This window comes from Homo sapiens, chromosome 1 (assembly GCF_000001405.40).
Source record: "Homo sapiens chromosome 1, GRCh38.p14 Primary Assembly".
In the NCBI taxonomy this organism is placed as follows: Eukaryota; Metazoa; Chordata; class Mammalia; order Primates; family Hominidae; genus Homo; species Homo sapiens.
Window position 1 is genome coordinate 202,284,625 of NC_000001.11, and position 16,930 is coordinate 202,301,554.

Sequence of the window (16,930 nt, forward strand, 5' to 3'; positions counted from 1 at the left end):
GGACCTGAAACCCTAGGTCAGTGTTTGGAAATGTGTGCCTGGAGGCCATGACGAGCTAGTCTAGCCTGACAGCTAATGATCTTTGAAAATCTTCGCAAGAAAAAAAAAGGTCGAGCAAACACAATTGCATCCTAAAGGGCCCACCCTCATGCTCTAGATCTGGGAACTTGATGGCTGAATCTCAGCTAGAACCCAGGAGGGGACAGGGCCCAGGATGGACCCCGGGGACAATAGTGTCTCACCTCTCTTGGGCCTGGGTGATGCTCCTTGGGCCTTGTTATAACCTCACTAAACAAATCAGGCCCAACTGGAGCCCTGTGCTGGCTGGACACTTCCCTTTGGAGGAGAGCCTGGGGCCATAGTGAGAACAGAAATCTTCTGGCCCCAGCTCTCTCTCTAAATCAGGACCAGCATTCAACAGGGGCCTGGGACAGGAAGAGGGCAAAGAAGAAATGTATTGAATTCTGCCTTATAATACAAAATTGTACCTTCCACATCAAATCTCCTCTGGTGATGGATGCTCTGGTGATCTGTTTCCACAGAACATTTTTACTTCAACAGCAACTGTAGCTAGAAAATGTTCCTCTCTGTGTGTGTCTTTGAAACCATTAATGCCAACAGGAAACTGGCTCTGACTTGGTTCTGAGAGTATCTGGCCACCCCTTACTCCTGGCCCTGATGTCAGCCTTTGGCCAGGGACAGGAAACCAGGTGGACTTCCATCGAGGTCCTCCCAGGGCTCAGGGTTCTTCCCAGGGTAGAATGAGGATTCATCTTGACTTAGCAGACTTAGATTCAAATCCTGGCTTTGCCACCAGCATGTGACAGGTGCAAGTCACCTGACTTCTCAAGAGCCTCGATTTCCACAGATAGAAAATGGGGATAATAGTTTTCAATTGAGAAGATTGTTGGCAAGGATCGCATTAAATGAGATGACTTCACGTGATGCCTGGAACATTATAGGTGCTTGATTTATGTCGGCTTCCTTTCCTGTCCTCCCATTTAATGTTGGATGGAATGTGTCCTAAGGTGGCCGGGAGGATGTTACCCAGAAGTGTCATTTCACAGTGGTCCATGCTGTGTCTCATCTCCTCTGTAGGATGGATGGGAATTTCCAGGCAGTCAAGGCATGACTACTGTGTTAATTTCCTGTGGCTGCCATAACAAATTATCACAAATTTAGTGGCTTAAAAAAACAGCAACTTATTCTCTCACAGTTCTAGAGGTCAGAAGTCCAAAATCAAGGTGTTAGCAGGGATGGTGCCTTCTGGAGGGTTTGAGGCGGAATCTATTCCATGCCTCTCACCTCACTTCTGGTGTCTGGTGGCAATCCTTGACTTGTAGACCCATCACTCCAATCTCTTACTCTATCTTCACGTTGCCTTTTTTGTTTTCTTCTGTGTCTCTCCTCTGTGTGTCTCCTCTTCTTGTAAGAACATTTGCCATTGGATTTGGGGCCCACCCTGTTAACCAAGGATGATCTCATCTTGAGATTTTTAATTCCTTCTGCAGAGGCCCTCTTTCCAAATAAGCTCACATTCACAGGTACCAGGTTTGGACATATCTTTTGGGGGCTACATATAATTCAACCCACTCTACAGCTATCCTGGCGGGCTCCATGACAGAGCCCTCTGGGGATAGGCTGATAGGTTGGGGCAGGGGTCCAGATGAATCTCGCAAATTTGCCTTCATATCTCAAGGTAAGTGCTGATCATCCCACTAGTCACTGGGCAAATAATTCCCTGCAGTTAAGAGAATTAGAAATATTTTTTTTCTGAAAGGCTGTCTTGTCTCATATCTTATTTATCCCCCAATCACTTGTTGAGAAAGACAAGGCAGGAATTGTGTATCCTCATGTTACAGATGGGGAAACTGAGACAGAAGGTGGATGACTTGCCCAAGGACACCCAGCTAATTAAGAGCCAGGATTTTAATTTGGGTTTCTCTGCCTTTGGCCCAGCGTCAGCCCATCAGACCACACTGCCTCTTGAGGCTAAGAATCAAGGAACTCTCTTTCCTTGCCAGTTCTTAATCATCTTACATTTGTGGGTTTATTAGCTGCAAATTTGTAGGGTTTTGTGGCTTATAGAGGAATTTATTGCTCCATATAAAAATTTTTTTTTCTGGCTTCCCCCGCAGAACCACTAATCACTTTAAACAGGCAGAAAATTGAGCTGCCCAATGAGTTTGTGTTGCGTTCTGTGACCGTGACGAGTTATTAATAGTTCTTCCCAGCACAACATTCCTTTTCCCATTGCCCTGGTGTGGGGGGTAGCCAAGGTCACTGCTCCTGTCATTGCTGCCTCTCCCTCCCCTGCTGGCAATGGGGACAAAACTTCCACTGTGAACTCTACCCCCTCTGCCGACTGCTCCAGGCACCCCAGCCAGCTGGTCTGGAATGGAGAGGAAGAGAGGTTAAGGGGGGTGGGAAGCTTGGCCCACAGGTTCCGTAGTAGATGTAATGGAGAGGAAACAAAGTTCAGGTCTGGCCCTCCCATATCTGTAGGAAGGAGGAGCTGGTAAGAATTAAAGATTACCACTCTCTTTTCTTCTGTTTCTTTATATTCACTCATTCCATAAATATTTATTAAGTTTTTAGTATATGCCAGGCCACCATTATAGGCACTGGTAAAACATTTATGAACAACAAAGTGTAGTCCCTGCTATCACAGAGACTAAAGGGTTCTAGATCAGAAGTCCTGAGTTCTTTTAAACTTAACATGAATGCACTGTTACCAGCATTTCTGACCTCATCACCCTAACCCCTTAACCTTGGCATGTCCCAAGGCTCAAGTTCTCCCAAGGCTCAAGTTCTGTTTACGCTTCTCTCCCTCCATGTTCTCATCTGGTCTTGTATGTTTGCTGATTACTCCAGCCCAGACCTATCTCCTGAACTCCAGACTTAAATATTCAAAGGCCTTCTTAACATGCTCACTGGATATCTAACAAATATCCAGACTTCCAGACTAAACCCCGGAGTCTTTCCCTGAACCCATCCCACCAGAAGTCTTCCCCAGCTCAGTGATGGCAGCTTTACTCCTGCAGTTACTCAGGCCCAAACCTTGGAGTCATCCAAAACAACTCTCTTTCTCTCACATCCCACATCCAAGCTGTCAGCAAACTCCATTGGCCCCATCTTCCAACTATATTAAGAATCTGACCACGTCTCACCCCTTCCACTGCTACCACGATGCTCCAAGCCGCCATCCTTCTCTCACCTGGGTTATTGCAGTGGCCTTCTATCTGGTCACTCTGCTTTCATTCTTGTCATCCTACAATCTGTTTTCAACACAACAACCAGAATGACTATTTTAATATACAAATCAGGTCATGTTACTTTTCTGTTCCAAACCCTCCAGTGATTCCTCATCATACTCCAGAAAAAAAAAAGCCAACATTCTGTACTGGTCTACAAGGCCTCAGATGCTGTGGCCCCTTGCCGCCTCTCTGGTGTCACCCCCTCCTCAATCTAGTCCAGGCACGATGGCCTCCTTGAATATACTACTTTTGTTCCTGCATCAAGCCTTTTCCTTTTGTCTGGAATGTTCTTTCCACCATTATCCACATGGTTTACTTCCTCACCTCCTCCAGGACTTTGCTCAAATGTCACCTTTTAAGTATCCTCCCTGGTCACCACTTTGCAACCTCCATTCCCAGCACTCTCCATTTTCTACTTAATTTTTTTCCATAGCATGCACCGCAATCTGATATCCTAATAATGTATTTACTCACTTAATTGCCTGCCCCTTACCGCTCCATGAGTTTTGTTCACTTTTGTCTTTGCAGCACTTGACCCAGTGCCAGGCACAGGGAAGGTACTCAATAAATGTTTGGTGAACAAATATTTCAACAAATAGATTTATGGCTCCTGGCAAATCTTTATCCTCTCTGGGCTTCAGTTTCCCCATCTGTACTGGGAGGCATTGGACCGTCTAACATCTAAGGTTGTTCCCAGCTGCAGTCACATCTATACTCCGAGATATGCAGTCTCTAGCCCAGACCTCTCCTCTGCGCCCTAGATGTAAGTGTCCTCTAGTCAGTCCTATCACAGCCCAGGAGCTGGCACAGGTGTCCCATGCTGTCTTGGAGAAATGGCCTGGATATGGACTGAACCCACGAGGATGGTCCCTTGGCCCTCCCTTTGGTCCAGGTCACCTTCCCATAAGCCAGTTGTTCAGAACTGCAAGACCCCAGCTTTTGACCAACAGGTCCAAGTCTCTGGGAAAGATTATCGGGCCACATTCTGCTGTGGTCAGGAACACCTCAGAGCCTTCAGGTCGCCTGCATTAACGGGCCCCAAACATCCAGGTGAGAGGGATGTTGCCTACAGAGGTCTGATTGCATCCAGAGGTCTGATTGCATCCAGAGGTCTGATGGATCCTGTTCTGGGTGCCATATCTTAAGCGTGGCAAAGGCTCTCCTGGGGAGGGTGGTGAGAGTATGAAGTGTCACAAAATGTGATTCAAAGAACTGAAGACAAGCCTTGGATAGAGTACAATGATCATCTTTGGAAGGCAGATTACATTTTATGCTCTTCCAGCTGACAGGATGAGGGCCAAGCAGGGAAGTGAAGACGGGCACTCCAGCTGACAGTAAGGAAGGATTACGTAATCTGCAGAGTGGCCCAACAGTGACAGCACCAGACACCCAGCATGTCAGTGAGTGCCTTGCCCTTTAGATAGTTCTAGTACAAACTGGATCCCCAATTGGGCCGGAATCTCAGAGATGATTCCTCTTTGGGGGCAGGTTGGACTATTACTTTTTACCACCCTTCTAATTCTAGGTTTCTGTGGTTCCAGGTGCTTCATTAGGGCAGGGCAACAAGTAATCTCAATCTCAGAGATCAGTCATTTTCATTAAAATCAGCACTGCTATTGCTTCAGGTAGATTCTGAATTTTCTCTCTGGCAAGAAAGAGAACGTAGGTGGAAGGAGGGAGGTTGTATCTGTGTCTCTCAATGGAAGCTAATGACAGCTTTACTCATTGCTGCATTTATTAATGGGTGGCCTTTTATGTAGATTGTTTAGAAGGTAAAACAATACTATTAGTTTTAAAGTTTTGGTTGGTTCCTGGCTCACCCAGTCATCTGCCCCAAGCACGTGGAGTCATATTTAGGACAGAGGCTCTGTCTGCAGTATGAGAAAAGCAATTAAGACATGTATTCATTGTGCTAGCTTGCCTTTGTTCCAGGCCTTTGGGAGATAAAAGGCAATTCAGAGTTTACAATCTCTCCAAAATTTCTGTGTTTTGCATTTCACACTGGGGAGCTAGGCTCACCCATATTCCCTCATGTACCCTTATCTGTGATCCAGTAATAAACACAAATGTTAGCCTTGAGAATAAAAATGTAAGTGGAAACCCAATTAATGATATTCATCTTTCTTAATTGCTATGAAAAGGGGATGGGCCAACTTGCATGCTGACTTTTGTAGTATCTAAAGAATGAAAGTGTCTGTTCTAGTAGCTTATGTCTAGTAAAAGGAAGAGGTCAAAGGAATTGGCATTATTTGAACATCTACTCTGTGCTAGTCTCTGGACCAGGTGAACAGAGCAATCTTATGCAATGGGTATGTCCCATTTACAGGTGAAGAAATGAGCTAAGAAAATTAAGAGATTTGTTCAAGATGATCCTGTTGGTGCACAGAAGGCAAGAACTCTCTCTAACACAGATAACATACAAAAAGACATCTAACTTCCAAATCATAATTATTTGGCTTTGACATGCTTATAAGCATCAAAAGAAACTCCTGCAGAAGCCCAATCCTCCACGTCCATTTATCCTCTCTCCCTAAAATTTTTTTGTTAGCCCTGCTATTTAGAGCCTAGCCAGGATCCAACTCTGTGTAGAATATAGGAAAGTGTTTTAAACCAGGAGCCAAGAGGCCTGAGTTTGAGTCCTGGCTCTGGGACTTGCAGCAATTTACCTCCTCTCTCCAAGCTCATTTCCTCATCAATAAAAAAAAGGGGGGCCAGGCGCGGTGGCTCACGCCTGTAATCCCAGCACTTTGGGAGGCTGAGGTGGGCGGATCGCCTGAGGTCAGGAGTTCAAGACCAGCCTGACCAACATGGAGAAACCCCATCTCTACTAAAAATACAAGGGTGTGGTGGTGCATGCCTGTAATCCCAGCTGCTTGGGAGGCTGAGGCAGGAGAATCACTTGAACCCAGGAGGTGGAGGTTGTAGTGAGCTGAGATCGCGCCATTGCCCTCCAGCCTGGGCAACAGGAGCAAAACTCTGTCTCAAAAAATAAAAAATAAAAAGCAAAAGAAGGGACTGGACAGGATGACTGTAAAATCCTGCCAGCTCTGTTGTCTGAATCTACAGCTGAATCTACAGGGAGGCTCCTCAGAGATCTCTGAAGTTGGCCATTTCTGCACAGCCTGATGGAAAAGAGAAAATTAGGCATGTGGGTCCTTGAACAGCTTAGGGCTGGGGTTGCCTTCTCAGCTACTTTTACCGATTGCATGGATTTGCCATTTGTTTTGATTAGATTTGGCTAGAAACAGTTGAGCAGATGAAGGGGTGTCTTAGCTATGGACAGCTGCAGCTTCCAGACTGAGCTCTGGCTGGAGTTGGAAGTGGTTTCTCTTTAACTTCAGTCCTTCCCCCTCTGCTTCTAGCTCCCGGGAGCAGGAGACAGAACAATGAACTCTTCCTGGGCTTCTGGCTGATTGTGGGCTGTTAAAGATAATAGTCTATTAAGCCATGGATGAGTTTTCCTGCTGAAGTTTAGGGCATCATAAGCCATCCTGCAATGAAAGATACACACTGAGCCTGGTCTGCATGTTAGAGTCTAATCCCAAAGGCCAAGACACTGCCATGAAGCAGCCAGCTACCAAGGCCAAAGGAGCCCCCATCTTGAGACCCTGCACAGTGGACTCAAATGATCATCTACAACAATGAACATTCACATATGTGGCCTTGTGCCTGTGCTGTGGGAGATCCAAAAGTGAACCCATATGCTTCCCAACCTCAGCAAGCTTCCTGTCTCATTGGGGAGACAATATGCATGCAGAAAACCCAACTCTGGACTCAGATTGCCTGGACTTCAATCCCCGCCCTTCTAATACTAGCTGTGGAACTGTGGTCAAGTGATTATCTCCCTCTGTGCCTCAGTTTCTCATCTCCAAAATGGAGGCCATTATGGTACCTACCTCAAAGGGTTGGCATGGCAATTAAATGAATTAATATATGCAAATCACTAGAACCATGACTATTACATAGTAATTACTATTATCCTCTATTATTACCATTGTAATGCTATGCATGCAGAGGACGAAAATCCCAGAAAAGTTCCAAGAGAGTGAGTGAATCATTCTGACTACAGGGATTGGGTTGGATTGAGGGAGAAAGGTATAGTTGGACCGGACTTCAAAGGATGACTAGGATTTTAACAGCTGAGGATGTGGGGAAAGGGTATTTCAGGCTGAGGGCATGAGGGGCGCAAGTAACTACACAAGGGTGTGAAAATGGCACAACCCATTAAGGGCTGAAATGGCAGATGAAACTGAGGGATTAGTTAAGGGCATCGGAGCCCATTAAGGGATTTGGATTTTGTCTGTAAGCCCTTGTTCTGGAAGCCTTTCCAGATTTTTCAACAGGAGAGTGACAGACTCAGTTTTGCATTTTAAAAAGATCTTTCCGGCAGATGTGTAGTAGCTAAGAGTGTGGGCTTCAGACTCACACTGCCAGGGTTCAAATCCTGGCTGTGACACCGAATTAGTTCAGGTAGGCTAAATGGCTGTGACATATAGACTGAAACATGTATAATGGCACAAACACAATAGAAGTTTATTTCTGGATCATGTAACAGTCTAAGGAGAGTGTGTCTTCTTGGCAGGTGGCCTCATCCATGTGATGACTCAGGGATCTGGCTTCTTGGGAGCTTGCCACCTCCAGGGCCTCATTGTTTTTGGCCTGTAGCTGGTGGAAGGGTAGAGAGACCAGTGAGGAGACAAGTTGTCTATTTTATAAATCCTGGACTAGATACAGTATGCACCACTTCTGACACACCTACTGTGAAGGAGGCTGAGAAGTCCACTCTTGCTCCATTCCTGGCATTCTTCCTATTATGATAAGCCAGCACTGCCCAGTAGAACTTTCTGGGTTGACGGAAATGTTCTGCATCTGTTCTTATATGATAGTTGCTTGCCACATGTTGCTACTGAGCACTTGAAGTGTGGCTAGTGAAACTGAGAGCCAAATCTTACATTTTATTTATTTGTAGTTAATTTAAATAGCCACACATGCCTAGTGGCTATTGTATTGGTCAGTGCAGCTATGGAGAAAAGAGAGAGTAGATTTTTACTTACAGACAGTAGACTCTGCCACAGCCAGGTATCAGTTGTGTGATATGAGTGACTAATTTAATCTCTCTGTGCCTCGCTTTCCTCAACTGTCAAATGGGTATAATAGCAGTAACTGCCTCTTGAGGCTGTTGGGAGGATTAAGAGATTATTCAGTCAAAACACTTAGTGGCTGGCACACAGACAGTGCTCAACCAATGTTATCATATGGATGACTTGGAGGCAGGGACAGCAGATAAGAAGTGTATAGCAGTCCAGAGGAGACAGCCCCCTAGAATTACCTCCAAGTATTGCCCTTTGCTCCAACCAAGCGATATTGCTTGCTCTTTTCCAAACACGACTCCACAGCACTCACTTCCTCTAAGTCATGCTCTCTCTTCTTGATCCATTCATCCCTTCATATTGAAATCTTGCTGTTCTATGACACATGTCACATTTCCATGAAGCCCTCATGGTCTTTCCAGCTCTGTGTGATCACTGCAGTCTGTGAAGGTCCTGATGCTTCGTGTGCTCTCCACAGTCATGTCAAAGATGCTCTTTCATTATCTTGTGCATTTGTCTAGATAGGAGTGGGTTTTTTTTTTTAAACCCATCTCTCTACCTTCCACTTTACCCAGCAGAATTCTTTGTGTATTGCAAGGAGGCAACAAATGTTCATTGCACTGAGTTGAATCCATCAGGAGCGGAGAGAGTTGCAAAGACATGTTCCCTGGACAATTAGAGCCACAGATTACATCTACATGGTACTATATGAAGCAGGACTTTGGCAATTTCCCAGGTCATAAAATCTGTGTAGACGTCCAAATGGGAAAACTCCGGCCACCTCATTGGCATGGAGTTTGCAGCATTCTCTTTGACCTTTGCACAGTTTTTATTCTTTCCCATTTCTCGACAAAAATAGACTTGTAGTTCACATGCCTTTTACCATATGTCTTTTGCTACTGTCTGTTAGGCCACTCCTGCAAAATTCCTGACCAGAAACTGCCAAGGAGGGCTGGAACTACTCAATGGATTGCCTGGACATGGGTCCAATGAACTGTATAAGGACTCAATGATAGCAAAGTCACATGAAACCATCCCATGGTCTCTGTGGCCCCAGGCAAGCCACTCAGGACTATCTTGTGCCTTTTGCAACATCAACCTCAAAATCTTAAGGACGTTCCCCCAAATACTGTAGATTCTCTTAAGAGTCCATTAGTGTTTTCATTAATCAATTTATTTAGATGTCTTCATTGCTTCATCTATCAAGTATTTGTTGAGCTCCTGCTATGCGCCAGGATTGTTCTGGTGTTTAGAATATGAAACAATGTTTCTATTTTCAAGAAGCTTTCATTCTAATTGGGTGAGAAGAAAATAAACAAATATATGTCAGGTGACTAAGTTCTGTGAAGAAAGAACGGAAGCTGTCTCATTCTATATTGCTACATAACAAATCACCCCAAAATTTAGTGGCTTAAAATATCACTTTATTATTCTTCATGAATTATGGCTTTCCTGGCTCATCAGGTTGGTTCTTCTGCTGGAGCCATCCCCTGGGCTCATTCATGAGGTTGTAGTCATCTGGACGCTCAACTAGGTCTAGGAGGTCTAGGGAGGCCACTCATATGTCTGGGCCCTTGGTATTGGTTGTCGGCTGGTCTTCTGTATCCACATGGCCCTCATCATTCAAGAGTCTAGTCTGGAATTTCTTACATAGTGGTGGGAGCATTCCAAGAAAGCAAAGGCAGAGGCTGTGAGGCCTCATGTGATTAGGGACCAAGTCACACTATATCACTTCCATTTCATTCTGTTGGACCATGCCAGTCACAAGGCCATCCCAGCCCAAGGTAGATGTCACATCTTGAGAGGAGAAGCTGCAAAGGATTTGTGATCACTTTTAATCTACCACACTGGATAAGGGAATAGCAAATGAGAGGATATGCTATTTTAGATAGAGTAGTCAGAGAAGGGCTCTCTGATGAGGTATAATTTGGGCAGAGACCTGAATGAAGTGAGTAAACCATAGAAGTATTTGGGGAAGAGCATGCTAGGCCTATGGAATAGCAAGCAAAGTCTCTGAAGCCAGATCAATGCAATACTTTGCGTTTGAGATAATAATGCAATATTAAGACTTTTCAGCTGGGCACGGTGGCTCATGCCTGTAATCCCAGCACTTTGGGTGGCCGAGGTGGGCAGATCACCTGAGGTCAGGAGTTTGAGACCAGCCTGAGCAACATGGTGAAACCCCATCTCTACTAAAAATACAAATATTAGTCCACTGTGGTGGCACACGCCTGTAATCCCAGCTACTCAGGAGGCTGAGGCAGGAGAATCGCTCGAACCTGGGAGGCAGAGGTTGCAGTGAGCCGAGATCACGCCACTGCACTCCAGCCCAGGCGACAGAGCAAGACTCCATCTCAAAAAAAAAAAAAAAAAAAAAAGACTTTTCAATAAAGATACTTCCATGTCATTTATGGGAAATCTAGTTCTCTTGCAACAATGGAGAATTCCTGATTGAGCTGAGCCAAGATGAAGGGGAACACCTGCTTTTGGAACCTGAGATATGAGAATGAATCATGTATACAATTTAAGACCAAAAAGAGAGGCCATTGCTTTCATCCCTGCTGCCATCCTCAATTCTCCCAGTCTGGTTTTCTAGGCATTTTCTGTAGCCCCTGGTAGAACTCCAGGAACTCCACAGTTTGAAAATTCCTCCCTGTTTCCAACTCCAGTACCTCTGGTTTTAGTCAAAGTGCTTTGCACACATCCTGGCCTCCGCCTGACCACATCCTTCACACAGCCTGTGGGAGCCTCTCTGTGAGCAAATCAACAAGGTTTGACGCATGAGAGGCAAAGGTATCTGACTCACTAGAGAACGGAGCAGAGAGAAGCAAAGCAGAAGGGATTTTCTACTGTAATTACCCAAGATCACCAGGGCAGTCTGAGGGTAATTGGGTAATTAGTGTGTGTGTGTGTGTGTGTGTGTGTGTGTGTGTGTGTGTGTGTGACAATTATCTGGCTCACTGGCTGCCAGATGCTTGTCACTGCCCCTCTGGCCCTTGGGCTGGGTTCCTGGCTCTACCTGTGGACTATTAAGTGTAATGACCCTGTCACGCAGAGGAGCCTGTCATTATCTCCATGTTAACATGGTATTTATCCACAAAACCCTGCCAAGTCACTCTGTAATTGAAGGGCCTCCATGTGGTCCCCCTGCCCTGGCTTGGATGGACAACCATGAAGGTTGTCAGGGCAGGGGTGGCTTTAAAAGGCTGAGAAGGTGGGCTGGGGTCATCCTGGGAGGCTAGGGAGGGATGCTGTAACTAAGTCTTCCCCCAACCTATTGCCAAACCCCAGGACCCCAGAAACAGGATCCAAGAGGCATTAAGACACCCCCAAATCAGTCACATTTCCACATGAGGCTAAGTCGTTGACTACTGAGTAAAATGAAAGCCAACTTTAAAATTTTGGAAGCTCTTCGATGATAGGCGATCTCATTACGTAACAGGGAGTACAACTTTCTAGAAGTACCCTGTAGTTCTTACTCTCTACTTCCCAGTCACTCTGTACTATCTCCCTCAAAACTCCAATGCTCACCTCTTTCCCCGGGGCTCCCCTGCCTTTGGGGCTCTTTTCTATTTGTCACAGGCAATTCTAAATCTTTTCTGATGAAAATAAAAGTTGCCCTCGGCCTCTTCCATTTCTCTTGCTTCTCTTGCCCTGTCATCTCCACAAAAGGCACGGACACAGAAGTTTCCTTAAAAGAGTTGATGGAGTGAAGCTGTGGTCACTTATGGGTCAATATTTTGCCCCTGGTGCCTAAGCAGTGCTGTTCTGAGCATCCTTATGCTTATCCTTACACATTCCTAGACTTGGAGTGCCTGGGTATGAATCTTTTAATTTGAAAAGATGTTATCAAATAGTTTCTAAAGGGTTGTACACATTTAAATTCCCACTAATAATTTATCAGGATGCTTGTTTTCCCACATTCTTGCCAACTTGGGTTGCTACCCCTTTTAAAAATTACCTTTATAATTTTCTGATTATACATGTGATATATGCTCATTGCAAAAAAAAAAATTGGAAAGTACAGAAAAGTGTAAGAGAAAATAGCTGTTGTGCCTTCACCCCAAGAGAAGAAACACTCCCCATTTCTATAGAGGATAACAGCAAAGACCACGGATGGAGACCACAGTGGTCACCTGAGGAACCTTCTGGAATCCCTAGTGCTGGTTATAAGATGTTAACGATCACCCACTTCCCCCCTTCCTCCACTCCTCTGATGTCTCCAAAGGCTTGAGATGCTTTCTTCAGTTGGCAGGGTCTATTCTGAGGGAGATGGTTCCAGGTATCTGCACCCCTGAAGTATGTCTCCCCCCTCAGAACAGTTCTGCAGCCAGGAAGATTCCACGCCTGAGGATTTGTGGAATAGGATTGGAGCATGAACATTCCAAAATGTGTTTCCAGACATTGGCCGCTGGATCCAACAGATTGGAAAACCCATCTCCCTGGCCAAGCCCAGAGCCAAGTTTCCATTTCTCAGGGACCCTGACATGCCCCATTAAGCCTTTGCCCTAATGACTGCTCTGCTTTCTGTTCCAGAGACCTGAATTATAACAAGCTGCAGGAGTTCCCTGTGGCCATCCGGACCCTGGGCAGACTGCAGGAACTGTAAGCGCCTCTTTTGGTTTCTGTGGGTGTCCTTCTGTCCCAAGGGCAGGGGCTGAAGCCAGCCTGAGCTGCCTCATGCTCTTACCTCCTCACCTCCCATGGTCCTTATAAAAGATGTAGCTGTCCCCCACCCTCCCGCCCCGGCTCCCCAAGCCCCAATGCAGCTCTAAGTAGTCCCAGGCCTCATTAGCTTGGTTTCGGGCACTTCCTGGGGGTGTGTCAATAGCAGAAATGGCCCTGGGGCCTTCCAGCCTGGGAAAACCCATGGCACAAGCCACCTACTATTAGCCTGGGCCTGGCACTGCCCTTGCCTTGGTTGGGATGTGTCCAGAGAAGAATGAGGAAAGGAACTGAGAACTGGTTTATAGGATCACTCCTCAGCACCTTGTCCCCAGGGGTACTGAGAAGTTGTCTCTGGTTCCCCAAAGCCACCATTTATTATTTTATTTCAGCATTCGCTGAGCACCCAATGTACCCTGCACTGTGTTTAGTGATAAACACAAACAAAGGGTCAGATTGACATGGCCCTCCCCAAGCATCCTTCAGCCTCATTGAAGACACAAAGTAACATAGGTAAAACAGGGAGCAGGACAAAATGGTATATAACTCCAACCATAACTTGCAGAGTATTAGCTAAAACAGCGGTGGGAGTCCAGAGTAATGTGGAAAGATCATTGTGGACAAATCCTGAGATGAGCCTTAAGGGATGACCGGGATTGAGGCGACAGTGGTGGGGAAGGGGAGAGGCATTTCAGAGGAAGAAATTGTAGGTAAAGACCCAGGTAGGAAGTTGAGCTGGCAGAGGGATGAGCACAGGTGGGAAGCAGCTTTACTGGAGGGAAGCTCTCAGGAAACAATAAGAGCTCTATCGTACAGCTAGAGTGGGACCAGATTAAGAGTCCTGGAGACTCATAAACAGAGCCCCAAATTTTCAGGCAGCTTAGTATCTATTTTTTTTTTTTTTGAGACGGAGTCTCACTCTGTCGCCATGCTGGAGTGCAGTGGCACGATCTCGGCTCACTGCAACCTCCACCTCACAGGTTCAAGCGATTCTCCTGCCTCAGCCTCCCGAGTTGCTGGGACTACAGGCACGCACCACCATGCCCAGGTAATTTTTGTATTCTTAGTAGAGACGGGGTTTCACCATGTTGGCCAGGATGGTCTCTATCTCTTGACTTCGTGATCGGCCTGCCTTAGCCTCCCAAAAGTGCTGGGATTACAGGTGTGAGCCACTGCGCCCGGCCAGCTTAGTATCTTTATAGCTCAAACCACCCCCACCACCTGAGACCTATAGTACTAGCCCCATGCCACCTCCCTTGCCTCATCCAGAAGTTTGAAGGTGTGAATGCCAGATGTAGGCAGCACATAGGGGACAACTGGACCACCTAGAGGAAATAGTCTGGCCGGGCGTGGTGGTTCATGCCTATAATCCCAGCACTTTGGGAGGCCGAGGTGGGCAGATCACTTGAGGTCAGAAGTTCGAGACCAACCTGGACAACATGGTGAAACCCCATCTCTACTAAAAACACAAAAATCAGCCCAGCGTAGTAGTGCACACCTGTAGTCCTAGCTACTTGGGAAGCTGAGGCATGAGAATTACTTGTACCCAGGTGGCAGAGATTGCAATGAGCGGAGATTGTACCACTGTACTCCAGCCTGGGTGACAAAGTGAGACTCTGTCTCAAAAAAAAAAAAAAAAAAAAGTCTGAGTGAGAAACTATTGGAATTTCTCCATTGCCAGAGTCACCAAGGTCTAACTTTTTTCCTTTGATCTGGGGCATGAGAGAAGCATGAGATTTGATCTATCAAGAGGGCATGGAGGGAGCAGGATGTGCAAAAGCATTGAGCCGGGAAATAATAAAACATTAGGGAAGAGCGAGGAGACCTAAGTTAGCAGGGACAAAAATATATGGGAGGGGGTGTACCTGTCTATCTCCATCTCTCTCTCTCTCATCTATTGAGAGAAAGCTGCTTGAGGACAGGGCCCCTGTCTTAGAAACTTCTAAATCCCTCAGAGCTTGGCCCAACATTAGACACAAAGATGGTGTTTAAGAAAAACATAATGAGCAGATGAGAGGAATAAATTAATGAACAAACAGGCCTGGGTGGGTGGCACTGGCTGGAGGTGTCTGAGCGTGAAGCTGTGAGTGAGACAGCATGAAGGTGGAAGTCACGATGGGGATGGCAGGAGGAAGACAGAGGTGAGCAGAGTCCAGGGGGACAGAGAAGCCAGAAACTTCCAAAGAAAAAGAGAGGGAAGGAAAGGAGCCTGCTCCGCACAGGTTATGTACTTTTCAGTCCAACATGTTATTTATTTTGAAATGTTTTTCCCAACTAACCAAACACATAATTCTGGCTTCCAGACTCCCAGACTCTCAGCTGGGTGCCTCAGTCCTCATTTTCCCATAGTGCCATCCACAGTCATTCAGCGGCCCATTCCGCACCTTATCCCCCTGGCTGCGTGCTGTTGACACTTCTGTTTCTTTATTTTAGGGCCTTGAGGCCAAGCCAGCCTCCATTTGAGGAACATCCCTCACTTGGGATCCCCTGGAAGCTGTGTCTTTTCTGTATCTTCCTTTTCCTCTCACACACCCTTGGCTTCCTCTGTGGGGACCCACCAGGGCTCTCACGACAAATGACTAAGGAGAGGATTCCCTTCCTGGGGTCTGAACTCAGCCTCTTGCTCTTGAGTTGCTCCCACAGGCTTCCTGAGGCCTGCAGCCATGTCTCCACCCCTCACTCTTTTTACACTTGTTAGGGAAAAGAGGGTGTGTAATTGAACAGGAAGAAAAATCAGCTGGGTGCAGTGGCTCACACCTGTAATCCCAACACTTTGGGAGGCTGAGACAGGAGGATCACTTTAGCCCAGGAGTTCTAGACTAGCCTGGGCAACAAAGTGAGATCTTGTCTCTACAAAAAAATCAAAAAATTAGCGAGGTGCAGTGGCACATGCCTGTAGTCCCAGCTATGTAGGAGGCTGAGGCAGGAGAATCGCTTGAGCCCAGGAAGTCGAGGCTGCACTGCGGTGAGCCAAGATCGCATCATTGCACTCCAGCCTGGGTAACAGAGACCCTGTCTCAGAAAAAAAAAAAAAAAAGAAAGAAAGAAAAATCACAGGCAGTATTTGAATCTGAACCTGGAATCTCCAGGCCAATGCCTCTTTTGTCTTATGGACTGTCTAGCTTGCTGTCCAAAAGCCCTGTGGAATTCCATGCCTCTCCCTCTCTATACCTTTCTCCAAATCCTCACTGGTTCCTGGTGTTGTCTTCCAGGGGGTTCCATAACAACAACATCAAGGCCATCCCAGAAAAGGCCTTCATGGGGAACCCTCTGCTACAGACGATGTGAGTACTACTTTCTCTGGTCTCTTAATGCCGAACAGTGTTTCAGGGAGGAGGACAGAGGATGGGAAGGCAGGAGGGACTTCCCTAGGAAGCACCAGGGAGGCAGAAGTATGGGAGGGGTTGCCTTTCCCTGCATGTTCTTTCCTGGGTCTACATTGATAGGAGAAGAAAGCAGAGATTGGCCTTAATCCCAGCAGAAAGGCCTGAAAAACCCAATTAGGTGTTTGGACCTTCTTCTTCCAGACACTTTTATGATAACCCAATCCAGTTTGTGGGAAGATCGGCATTCCAGTACCTGCCTAAACTCCACACACTGTAAGTTGGCTCCTGAAGGCTGCTGCAGCCTGAACTTCCCCCTTTCCTCACTCCTTCTTGCTCTCTCCTGCCTATCGCCTGCGGATCTCTCCCTTGCAAGGCACAAGTCCACTGCAAAGCGTGGTCTTCAAGGCTGCAGGCCTCTGCTTTGCTCAGACCCGTTCCCACCTCTTTCTAAATTTAATAGCCTCCCTCCACCTCCCTGAACTGTGGCTTCTTCCCAGGTCTCAAAGGGACAAGGAAGGTCCATCTCCATAGTCAAGGACTTTCATCTGGCCTCTTGGGTTTTATCCTGTTCACGGTAGCTTTTCCAGAAATA

At 46.5% G+C, this 16,930-nt stretch overlaps 1 protein-coding gene across 19 annotated transcripts in view; it reads left to right on the top strand.

Moving 5' to 3' along the window:
• Window positions 1-16,930, top strand: part of LGR6 (leucine rich repeat containing G protein-coupled receptor 6) — a 125,963-nt gene that overhangs the window by 90,826 nt on the left and 18,207 nt on the right. For 18 of the 19 annotated variants that reach the window (NM_001017403.2, XM_047426928.1, XM_047426929.1 and 15 more), the window contains 3 exons: window positions 12,884-12,952; window positions 16,225-16,296; window positions 16,540-16,611. In NM_001017403.2, coding sequence (NP_001017403.1) covers window positions 12,884-12,952; window positions 16,225-16,296; window positions 16,540-16,611 — 213 coding nt within the window. Of the gene's footprint in view, window positions 1-12,883; window positions 12,953-14,025; window positions 14,061-16,224; window positions 16,297-16,539; window positions 16,612-16,930 lie in introns of those variants that run through there. The other variant, XM_011509844.3, reaches the window with a different exon arrangement.